We start from the raw sequence: 13,059 nt of genomic DNA on the forward strand, positions 1-13,059 counted from the left end.
TTACTGCTCACAAGTTTATTTCTTATTATAAAAATCATTCCCCACCCCTTGCTTTTAGTAATCCCTCTTTACTCCTATTTAATCCTGGATGCCACAATTAGACAGAAAGCAAGAACTTTTTTTTCTTTTTCTTCTGTAGCAGTGGACACCTTATGAGTAGATAGATATTAACTGCTCCAGGTCTGTCAAGTAGATGCATTTCCTTTGCTTTTGATTTTCACTGAGTAGAAAAAAACCTCTGTTACTTGTTACTTTATGACATAGAGACTCCACTGAAATAGCTTAACAAAATGAAAATGTAAAGTGAACCACAGCAATGGTGTGACTAGGGGTGCAAAGTGGATGATGCATTTGAAAGACAGAAGCAGACAGAGAAAGAAAGAGACAAGCAGAGAGACAAAGACAAGAGGCAGAAGGAAAGAGATAATACAGAGAAAAGTAGTTGCTCTGATAGTAATGTGAAGAGAAGTCTAAAAGGCAAGAGTACATAGTGCTAAAGGACAAAAACATGGACTTCCAACTTTCTCTTCATTTTCTTCCTAAGATCATTACCTCTAACCACCTCCACTCAAAATAATTTCCCAAAAGTCATGTTTCCACCAAAGTCTTTATCTTCACTAGCCATCAATGGGAAAAAAAAAAAAGGTGATAGGAAGAGAGGGTTGCTCTAGTTATTACTTCTGCTTAACAGACTACTCCAAAATTTTAGGGTTCAGAACAAACATTTTTTGTTTGTTTGTTTACAGCATCTTTGGGTCAGGAATTTGGTCATCTTTGGGACAGCAAGAATGCCTCGCCTGTGGTCTGTGTTGTCTGCGGCATCAACGAGGAGGACTCCATGGCTGGAGATGACTCACGAGGTGGGAGCTGGAATTGCCTGGAGACAATTTCACAGTGGTTGAAATCAGTTATGGGCTGGAGTCCTAGTGGGGGGCTGTTGTTTAATGTACCTAAACGTGGCATCTTCATGTGGCCTGGGTTTCCATTGCTCACAGCATAGCAGCTTTGGGGTAGTGGCATTTCTTACATGACAGCTCAGAGTTCCAACAGGGAATGTTCCAAGAAAAACAGATGGAAGCTGTGTGTCCTTTTTTTTAACCTAGCTGTGAAAATTACATGGCATAAATTCTGCCATACTTTTTGAGTTTAAACAGAGACATGTCCTGTCAGATGTATAAATGGGGTGCATATAGGTCCTACCTCTCAATGGGAAGAGAGTCAAAGAATGTGTGGACATATCTAAAACCACCATAGACAGGTTTTAGCTAATTCTTCAACTCATTACTTTCTATCTCTGCTGAACATTATTAAGAACATTAGGTTCCACTGGGCGCTGTGGCTCATGCCTGTAATCCCAACACTTTGGAAGGCCAAGGTGGGCAGATCACGGAGTCAGGAGTTCGAGACCAGCCTGGTCAATATGGTGAAACCCCGTCTCTAATTGAAAAAAAAAAAAAAATTAGCTGGGCATGGTGGCGTGTGCCTGTACTCCCAGCTACTCGGGAGGCTGAAGCAGGAGAATTGCTTGAACCCGGGAGGCAGAGGTTTCAGTGAGGTGAGATCGCGCCACTGCACTCCAGCCTGGGTGACAGAGCAAGACTCCATCTCAAAAAAAAAGGATATTATGTTCAAATAATCCTACTCAGCCTTCACTAAGACAACAGAGCCTACCCTGTCATAGTACATCTTTCTTATGTAGAAAAATAACTAATACTCCATCAAATCACCTCCAAATTAAGGAACCCATTCACCCTAATTCTGGGGCTGTTATTGAGGAAATGCCCCTATTTTGTTAGAGGACTTATTTTCTTATGCTATAGAAATGCAGGCTGTAAGGTCCAATGTAGTCAAAATAAGTCATTATGTCTGCGTACGTAAGTGAGAATCCTACGATAAAGCTATGGACTCAGCAGAGCACCTTAGTAAATTATAATGAGGTTACTTCAAGGAGAAATCTGAGATGCTAATCTCCAAATTTCTTAGGATTAATTCTTTTCTGACCCGTCCACATTTTAGTTGACTGCTTGGTATGTATCATTAACAAAATATCTCCTGATTTAGTACTAACCTGTCAGCGCCTATGAAATGCCTTATGTCTCTTACTATCTGAGCTGTTACTCATACTGGTTTCTTTTCAATACCTATAGTACTTTTTCTTAGATATTTTCAGAACTGTAATTATACACTGTACAATTTATAGTCTCAAACTAGATGAATAAATAAAGGAATGAATAAGTTTACTGTTTTTAATTATTTCATGCTCATTGATCTGGTCTTCCAAGGTTTTCAATTCTGTAATACTGTGTCACTTCCTCTTGAGTACACCCTATATAGCATTTAACCTTCCTTTATTGATTAAATTAAAAGTATTTATTATCAACTATAAACACAAAACTCTATTTAGAAGTATGGTGACAGGTGAAACATTGACTGGAAGTCTACAGAAATGCCAATATCTTATTTATGGCAAATTGACTGTGGGTGGCACAGGGGTGACCTGGAAGGAAAAGGAAATGATGCTTTCTATATCTGTTGTGCTGAGATTGGACTTGAACCTACTTACTAGGAAACAGAGCCTATGTGAAGGAAAGGAACTACACATCCATTTAGCCTAGTGGTTGGGGTGGGATGAGGATTAGGAAGATGAGAGGAGTGTGTTGTACTTCGGATTCAGGAACTAAGCAAAGACTCCAAGTTCAAGGGGATTTTCAATTATCATTATATGAGGAAGTCAGGAACTGTAATAAAAGAATGATGACTGTAAGAACATATTAAGATTCTTTGCAATTAGTCTATGTTAGTTATTTTTATTGTCCTCTGTCTATTTTTCTGCCATAGTTAACAGCAAAATTCTTGACGCTAAAAATCACAGTGGCTTATTCAGTGGCAGCAACCTCCTGGCCCATTCTATAGGGCTGACTTGGATAAAAGGTCAAAACATCGTAGAAATACAAAATGATTGTGTTTCAAGTGGCTGCCTCAGGACAAATGAATAGTCTGGAGCTCGGCTTCCCCTGAGAAAAACCTTGGAAGAGTAACAAAGAATAAACAAGCAAGCAAACAACAAAACAACAAACAAGCTTATTTATATCTCTTTGACTTAAAAAACAATTTAGCAGTAGACTATGCTTTTAGAAGCAATCTCCTCCACTCCAAAGTTACTATAGTGTCATAGACAGTGACAATTAATTAATGTTACTCAGGGGCCAGGACAGAAGCCCAGAGCACTGCAAGGTTTGTCTGAGCACTGCAAGTGTCTGTGCACTTACTCTTGTTCCTTTAAGCTTTTTTACCCTGTCAGTTGCACATCAAATAACGTCTCTTTGCAAGTGTGGCTTATACTTCCCAGATGGGTCTCCAAGGCCCCTGCCCTCATTAGGCCTCTCTACCATCCATGGATTGACCTGGGCATCTGGAAGGAACTTCAGCTTCTGTTTCATCCTCCTTCCCCAACCCCATGCCTGTCTCCTGCCCAAAGTAGTGGGGAAAATATTTTTTGTGAGAAAGACCTAAATGCGTTGATTATTTTAGAAACATATCCAGATCAAGAACTGGCTATTTGGAGGCAGTATATTGGCTTCCTCTATAAGCTGGAGTCTCCTTTTAATTAGCTAAAGGTAAAGTATGCCTCTAGCCATGAAGCCTAAGTTGTGTATCAATTCGTGGCTTTTAAACAGAAATATCAATTTTTATTACTTTACCAGCTCAGACTTGGCCCTTCTTTCCTATTGAATTATATAGGACTGAGACAGGCCTGAACACTAGAAAAGATACAAACACGAGAGACACTCAGTCCTCAGTGCACTTCCTTTTCAGATTTTCAGATTTCCCTCTACCTGGCTTTATGGGCTCTTTTGAATAAACTTTCTCCTGAACTCTTCAACCTACAATTAATTCAAGAATTATTATATGGATTCAAGGACAGAAATACGACTATTTCATTTTAATACACATAAGGTCTAGCTTCTCCATAAAATCTTAAGCTTCTTTTGGGAAAGATATACGTTGTGTATGATTTCATGTCTTTTGCAATATTGAGTAGAGCACTCACTGAGGATATATTGTTAAAGGCCAGGTTTTTGAATTTTTGAATTTCTGGAATTCCCCAGGGTCAGGTGCTGTTTTTTTTTTTTTTTTTTTTTCAAGTGTTCTAGTTTAAGGCTGGGCTATGTCTGGTACGTACTTTGCTCAAGGGGACAGAGAAGTGGAAGCTGCCAAAGGAATGCCAATGCGGGACACAGTTCCTCGGAGGTGGTGACTAAACTGTGTTGAGGAAAGGAGACGAAAGCCAGTGAACAGAGCTCTAGGGAATGGGAGGAAAACAGCCAATTGACAGAATCTCAAACAGGAAGACTGGGGTATTTTTTTTTCTTACCTGCAATTTTTATTTTTATTTTTTATAGAAAATATGTATTATACATATATTTTTGAAATGTTAAAAAACAGCTTCTGCTTAAAGTCTTAAAAAACCTAAGTTTCAAATTAGAGTAATCCCAAACAATTTCAATGCATTTTGACTTTAATCCAGATTTTATATACTATATAAATTGTAAGTGTGAATGAAGCATACATGCATTTTTATTGTATTTAAAAACATTTTTTTACTTTAACATGTCTCCTTGTTTCCATTTTTCTAAATTTCCTCCTTTGTTACATTGTTATTTTATCCAAAAGAGATTGCCTAATACTCACTATTCTATATATTTCTGTTCTCACTAAACAATAAATCATAAAAATCACACTAAATCAATTGTTCACTGATATAGTTTTACTTCATTTTTTAATGGCTGAAGAGTAGTTTGTGATATAAGTTTACCATATTTTTAACCATTTCTCTATTGAAGGGCCTTTTGCTTCATATTCATTATTTGGCTAGAGTGAATTAAACTGTGATAGATGCATATCCTGTACTTTTTTTTCCTACTTATTTGTGCTTTATTTTATGCTTGGACTAACAAGAAGAAGGTTTTCTGTGTCACAGAATAGATGCATTTTAATTTTAATGGACATTGCATTCCAAAATGTCTATAATACTTTAGATTTTATACTTTCCAGTCAAGTCATCACCATTTTAAACTGTTGCCAGCCTCAGCAGTGTAATGTGATATCTCTTTGTTACTTTAAAGTGCATTTATGTGACTAGCTGTCAGTTTGAGCATCTAGTCTCTGTGAATTGCTTCTTTAGCCTTTTTTTCTGTCGAGCTTCTATTCTCATCTTGACAAATTTTCAGTGTCCTATGTGTATTATAGAAACAATCTTCTGTCTGTATTCTCCATTGCATGTATTTTTTTCAAAGCCTATTTTATGTCTTTTGATTTTGTCTGTGTTATCTTTTGCTACAGATTTATATGCCTTATCTCTTATAGTTTCTGGGTTTTCAGTCTTAGTTAAGAAGGTCACACTTGCCCCTAGATGTGCATATAATCTCCTAGATTTCTGCAAAAAAATGTTAGTTTTACTTTTTACAAATATGACTTTAATACATCTGAAACTGCTTTTTTTTTGTACATAATGCAAAACATGAATAAATAGCTGACCGTGCCAGGGCTATTTGTTAACCATCCATCCTTTCTCAGTGAAATGAAAGACAACTTTGTCAAGTATAAAATCTGCTATTATAATACTGAATTGATTTCTAGATTCTGTCTTTCTTCTAAGGATTTATTTATCTATGTCATGCTGTTAAAAGAATGACTGGATATTAGTACTTTATAGAATTATATAAGATACTTAGCATTTTATATTTCTATAGCTTTGTCCACTTTTACTATTTATCATATGTATGTAGGCAGTCTATGAAATCTACACTGGCATACAAAGAGTTAAGATAATTTTTTTAATTCTGAAAATTCATAGTTGGGATTCATATTATAATTGAATAATATAAAATCGGTATGTTAATTTTAAAACATTAATAATTTTTATTACATCATTTCCCATCTAGAAACCTAATCTGTCTTTCCATATGTTGAGGAATTTGTTTTATATCCTTCAATGAGATTTTATAGTTTTGTTCATGTAGGTCCTAAGCCTTTGAAAATATTTTCTTAAGCATATAAAAGATACACTATATATGGGTACATTTTATTGCAGTTACTCAATTCCAACAAAGTTTATGGGTTCCATTTTATGGGATCTACAGCAATAAGTTAAACATGTGATTGTGTGTGTGTGTTGTGTTAAAACAGCATATCATTAGCCTCTGTATCGTAGTCTAAATATAAAGTATGGGTCTTTCCTTTCTCCTACCTATAATTACCTTAATGTAGATAGTTTATAACCTCATATCTCTTCAACCTGTTCTAGAGTCAATGACTCTATATAACCCATGTCTGTCTACTATCAACTGCCTTATTAGTAAATCGTCCTTTTTCCCAAAGGAGCTGATGCAATCACCAACTCTTGTCATTCAGAACCAGAACATGAGCTTCTGATTGACTCTTAGAAGTGCTGCAGGCTCCACGATTTACACAGCAGATTTCTATCTGTCTGTCTATCTATTTATCTAATCATCTATCTATAGGCATATGGGTGACCTAAAATACACAATACATCCCAATTTCACTTGAAGTTTATGCATGTATTATTTGTTGTACAAATCATTTGAGAAAATATAGGTTTGGACCTCAGATTTTATTTTTGTGTTTTTGTTTTTTTTAAAGCTATGGACCAAATTCTAGTTCCTACTTAGAGCAACAAAGCAAATAAAAATCCATAACATAAATCTAGTGCAAGTTAGTTGGTGACCAGACACATTGTACCCAGACAGCCATGCCAATTAGAATCCTGCTTTGTACAGTAGCTGTTTTGAGTCACAGCCAAAAGTTTCCATTTGCACAACAATAGAACAGATGCTAAGTTATACTCAAGGACCTATGATTTGTGTAATAAAAACTGAGACAAAACATAGACCCTACAATTTAAAGCTTAAATATGGCAAAACTCATTTTAAAAGACTGACTTATAAGGAATTAATCACAGCTTAATTTTGCACCCAAAGTTGCTCTAAGTAGGAACTAGAATTTGGTCCATAGCTTTAAAAAAAAAAACAAAAACAAAAACAAAAAAACAAAAAACAAGATCCAAACCTATATTTTCTCAAATGATTTGTCTATTTGTCTCTGTTTGTCCTATTCTGGGCTACAGAAATTCATGGCTCCCATTATTAGTAAACATACCAAGAAGGAACAAATTTGAGGGCCTGCATTTGAATCCTTGCTCTGATATAATGAGTTGTAAAAGCTTGGACAAAGTAAATTTCCAATACCACATCTATGAAGTACTATACACTTTATATTAGTGGTTCTGAACCAGGACCAATGGTGGTTGTTACTACCAGGAGGAGGCTACTCACACCTAGGGGCTAGAAGTTAGGGATCCTGCTAGACATCCTACAATGCATAGGACAGTTCCCACAACAAAGAATTATTCAGCCTAAAGTATCAATAGTGCTGATGTTGAGAAACTCTGCTTTATAGGAGTTTTGTGAAATAAATGGGATACTGCTTATGAGGTACATTGAACAAAGCACCTGGCCTGTAGTAAACACATACACTGTCACTGCTCTCATTATTATTGCAATTAATTATCTGAACTCATTTATTTTTTCCATTCAGCATTTTCTGAGAACAATTTGTGGTTGCTTGTAGGGAGAGATGAAGTGGTGAAGTGCAATATGGTGAGTGCCGAATTATGAAGTAAGCAAAATGCCATAAAAGTAATGACATATTAAAAGACATTTACTGGTAACTGTCTTATGATATGTCCAATGGTTTAAAACATTTACTCTCTTCTATGAATGCTTTCCCGGCTCACAGCACTTTCTCTAAATTAGCAACTCAGGGTAAGGTGTTTTTTTTTTGTTTTGTTTTGTTTTTGTTTGTTTGTTTTTTGACAGAGTTTTGCTCTGTTGCCCAGGCTGGAGTGCAGTGGTGCCATTTCGGCTCACTGCAAGCTCTGCCTCCTGTGTTCAAGCCATTCTCCTGCCTCAGCCTCCCCGAGTAGCCAGGACTACAGGCATGTGCCACCACACCTGGCTAATTTTTTGTGTTTTTAGTAGTGACGGGGTTTCACCGTGTTAGCCAGGATGGTCTCAATCTCCTGACCTCGTGATCCGCCCACCTCGGCTTCCTAAAGTGCTGAGATTACAGGCGTGAGCCACCACGCCCAGCTACTCAGGGTAAGCTCTTAAAGTGAGCTTCATCACATACTAAAATAAACAAACACCAACATTATCTGTATAAAGTTTCTGTCTTCTATTCCTTAAATTTGATCAGATATGATGCAACAATGTGGCATCTTATATAAAATGCTGTCTTAAAGATAAGAAAAAGGCCGGGTGTGGTGGCTCACATCGATAATCTCAGCACTTTGGAAGGCTGACACAGGAAAGTTGCTTGAGGCCAGGAGTTTGAGACCAACCTGGGCCACATAGCACAACCCCTTCTCGGAAAAATAGCCAGGCATGGTAGCGAGTGCCTGTCACCTAGCTACTCAGGAGGGTAAGAGAAGAGTATGGCTGGAACCCAGGAGGTTAAGGCTACAGTGAGCCATGATCCCACCACTGCGCTCTAGCCTGAGTGACAAAAACCCTATCTGTAAAAAACAAATTAGTTAATTAATTAAATTAAGATAATAAAAAGAAAAACACACATCCACTGAATTAATGATTATATAATCTGAAAGACCAAAATACATAAATGTTGTATGTGCTAGCCTTGAGGCTAGTAAACCACCAGATGGATAACTTAAACTCTGCTGTGATGTAACTCAAGCTCTATTCTATTTGGTTTGCAGTAGGACTTTTTGATTAATGAATAAAACCTGACATACTAAGCAAAGTGAATAGAGGTTTTAGTTAAAGATTAATATTAGATCAGCCAAGCCTTACTGCATTTACATTTGAACAATTAAAGAGCTCTCGCTCTATCGATTTTAAGACAGTGTCAAAGAGTGGTGGTAGAACCAGCAACTTTATCATTACCAGGCAAATTGTTAGATATGCAAAGCCTCAGGCCCCTAACCCAGATTTCTGGAATCAGGAACTCTGAGGGTGGGCCCAACAATGGGTGTTTAACCACAGCCCTCCAGGTGATGCTGATGCACACTGAAGTTTGCCAACTGCAGTACTAAAATGAACAAAAGAGGAAGCTGCCTTCCGGTGATTCCTCGAAATAATTTATCTATATGGATTTATTCTCCATTTCTCAAGGAAGATGCAATCTCGATTCACTTTTGCTGAGAGTTTTTTCCTCTTAACGAAAACACAAGGGATTAATTTACCTCGATTTGCAGTCTCAACTAGATTTGCAGTGGACCTAATAATAAGAGAGAAGTTTCCTGACTTGGTTTCCATGGCTCTAGACTTCCTCTTGTTAATGCACAGGATAAATTACCTTGTGTAAAGGGAAAAAGGAAGAATTTTGGGATTGAACAAAGTTTTTACCACTTATAGCTAAGTGACTTTGAGCCAGTTACATTACCCACATTATCCTCAATAAATCAAGGAAAAACTAACATCATAATAATATTGATTCTTCAGACTTGCTACTTCTCTATGAACATGATACCTCTCTCCATTTATTTTGGTTATCTAAAATTGGCTCAGAAAGGTTTTGTAATTTTCCGTATAAAGGTCTTATACATAATTAGTTAAATTTACTTCTAGGAATGTTGTTTGATGCTATAATATAATACATGCATTTTTAAAAATCTGTAGTTTATTAATAGCTTATAATAATACTATTGATTTTTATATTTTGATATTTTATTCTGTGATGTTTAAATACTACTCATTACTTATGTAGTTTCTTGGTAGATTCTTTTATATATGTAGATCATCATGTTCTCTGAGAGATATATAATTTTGACACTTTCCTACATTTATGGCTTATATATATTTTTCTGCCTCATTGCATTGGATTGAACCTCTACAGCAATATGGACAATGAGTTGTCAGAGAAAATATTCTCAGTGTTAATGAGTTCAATATTTCACCATTAAATGTGGTCTTAACAGTAGGTTTTTTTGTGGATACCATTTTCTTCTATTCTTAGTTGCTCAGAATTTTTATTCTGAATTATTGAATTTAGTCATTTTTTTTGTTATCTATTGACTGGAACATAAGACTTTTCTTTCTCTTTCTGTTTATGTAGTATATTCAGCAGTTTGTTGAATAAACTCCTATGATAGCACCTATAATATTTTACCTAAGTTATTCAATTATTTATCTATACTGTGCAGTAATCAGAGTTCTGCAAATAAACAGAACCAATAGAATGTGTGTCTATAGAAATAGATTTGTTTTAAAGAATTGGCTCACCTGATTGTGGAGGCTGGCAAATGCACTCTGCAGGGTGGGCTGGCAGGCAGGAGACCCAGAGGGGAGTCCATGCTGCAGTTCAAAGGCAAAGATGATCTGTTGCAGAATTCCCTCTCATTTATGTGAGGTCGATCTATAGTTCCATTCAGTCACCTTCAACTGATTGGATGAGACTCCTCCACATAATGAAGCACCCAATGCTTTACTCAAAGTTCACTGAGTAAATATTAATCTCACCTAAAAACACAGAAACATCCAGGATAATGTTTGACCACACATCTGGGCACTGTGGACACCTGAAATTAACCATCACATATTATTGCTTTTCCTTCACTGGCTGTGCATTCACCATGTTGTACACTTTAATTATATACAATTTTTATTTGACAGTTCACCTTGAAATTGGCCTGATTTCCCCATAGAACTTATATTTATGATTTTCCTTGAATGGAACTAGAAATTTACCTTCCTTGTCTTAGAGCTTGAAAAAATTACATGTGTCTTATCTAAGTTCCTTTCTCAGGAAACCAACCGTCAGGTTTCCTGACAGTATCAAGGAACTGAAACTTACCAGATCACTGCATCTGGCCAATAAGACGCAAGACCCCCCATTCATCGTGATTGCCTAACAGACCACCTGCTACCCATTGACTAACTCCTCTTTTGTACACTTCCCTAATTTCTGTTTTTCCACATGTAATTACATTTCTTCCATGCTCTATAAACCCTTAAGTTTAGTCACTTGAAGAGATGGATTTGAGATTAATCTTCCATTCTCCTTGACTGTAGCATCCACATAAAGCCTCCTTCCCCGGAAATACTCATTGTCTCAGTGATTGGCTTTCTGTGTGGTGAGCAAAACCCCTGGTGTCTCAGTAACAATCTTAATAAAACAGGAATTTAAAAAAATAATAATAATATAAATGTACTGTATGAATCTTGTAGCATGAATAGCAAGGAATTAAGAAAAACTAACCCCCTCCCCCCAACATTTCCTTTTTCAGGAAGGGAAAAATCAATATCTTACAGTACAGTTTCCACTCTAAGAAATACTACACATTTTATGTTACAAGCAAAATTTTATGGTATAGTTTATGAAATAAAATTGAACCTCATAGTTTTTAATTTATTTGTACAATAATGTTTCATTTAGGCACTGCCCCATCCTCCTTTTAACTATTTACTATATAATTTTGGTCATAACTTAAAGTGGATTTATTTTCAGTGCCTTTTTAAAGTTAACAAGTATCTTTGGATACTGTAGTTGCCCTGAGTTCAACTCCATGTTTTATAAAACAGGCACAGTCTTCCTTTATGGGAGGAGGAGTTTCTTTCTATGTCTTTGGTTATTAGAATTAGAAAAACTGCCTTGATCAGCATACATTAAATTTTTGAAAGTTAAGTTTTTCACCTCTTGTGAGACTAATTCTATCATATTCTTCATTTGTTGATGATTATGATGTGACTTCAATTTACCCTTCCTAATGTGATTGTAAATTTTCATGTAATGAAAGAAGAGGCACAACCAAGATCACTGCACAGCATTAGTAACACGTAGAAAATATATTTCACATTCTGAGATGAGATAAACTCTTAGCTCTCAAGGTCACAGAATGCTGACAGTTAATTGGCCTTTTGAGAAATCTTGAGAGAAGACTGAAAATTGCATTCAAGTATTATTCAAGATTTTGTATAATAGCAATACAAAAAACACAATGTGGTAAATTATAATTAATTATAATTGTTTCTACAAATCTTTGCTACATACAAGAAAGTGTGATGTAGACTACTAATTTATGCTTGGAATTGCTACTTTCTTAACTACCTGTCTGATAAAGGTCTCTTACTTGAGGAGGCTACATGCTTGCAATCCTAGCATTTTGGGAGCCCAAGGCAGGCAGATTGCCTGAGCTGAGGAGCTCGAGACTAGCCTGGGCAACATGGCAAAACCCTGTCTGTACTTAAAATACAAAAAAATTAGCTGGGCATGGTGGCACTTGCCTGTAATTCCAGCTACTCGGGAGGCTGAGGCACGAGAATTGTTTGAACTCAAGAGGCAGAGGTAGCAGTGAGCCGAGATCGCACCTGCACGTCAGCCTGGACATGAACCTCACTCTTTACTAGTCTCATACTATATAGCAGCAGGACTTTATTTAAGAGTGTTTTCTGTAGCTGCAGTAGTAATGATGCAGTTATAGAACCTTCAGACTGGCTAATTTCTTCTTCAGAATTACATGGCAGTTTGTACTGGGTTGAAACAAATGGTGCGATGGACTAAGTTTCGCCATCAGAGACAAAGCAAGACTTTGAAAAACTCAGAATAAACATGGGCATGGGTTGCTTCTTGCTGCCACTGTCCATGTTGTTCCTGAAATCTCACTTCCAAGATGCCTTTTCATAGTCTCCTGTAGAATTTCCACATGCACTTAACCCGCTGCAGACATAGCAAGAGAGGAGTACACTAAAAGAGTGATACAAGCATCTGTATTTTAAAAAACTATGATGGTCAAAAAACTCTTATTCCTATCTTATGTATAAAGAAGACTGCAAAACTTAGTAAGGATGATATCTGACAACTGCTGATTGAGGATCTTAATAGGACTTTTCCTTGTTTTATTGAAAAACTTTAGTTATCCACAGCATAATGGGACCAGAATAGTATGAATTATTTATTCATTTGTTTAATTCAATGAGCAGTAATTGTCTCCTGTTTGCCAGATTCTGGGTCATGTACCAA

At 36.4% G+C, this 13,059-nt stretch overlaps 1 long non-coding RNA gene across 1 annotated transcript in view; it reads right to left on the reverse strand.

Annotated features, from left to right (window-relative positions):
* Nucleotides 1–2,787: 2,787 nt before the first annotated feature.
* The window catches only part of LOC101929485 (uncharacterized), a 254,397-nt gene continuing 244,125 nt past the window's right edge, over nucleotides 2,788–13,059 (reverse strand). The window contains exons 13-16 of the long non-coding RNA XR_007095992.1: nucleotides 10,323–10,559; nucleotides 9,284–9,396; nucleotides 4,184–4,263; nucleotides 2,788–3,025 (exon numbers count right to left, since the gene is read on the reverse strand). This is a non-coding gene — a long non-coding RNA (uncharacterized LOC101929485). The remainder of the gene's footprint in view (nucleotides 3,026–4,183; nucleotides 4,264–9,283; nucleotides 9,397–10,322; nucleotides 10,560–13,059) is intronic.

The sequence above is a fragment of the Homo sapiens genome, chromosome 3 (assembly GCF_000001405.40).
Source record: "Homo sapiens chromosome 3, GRCh38.p14 Primary Assembly".
NCBI classification, from domain to species: domain Eukaryota; kingdom Metazoa; phylum Chordata; class Mammalia; order Primates; family Hominidae; genus Homo; species Homo sapiens.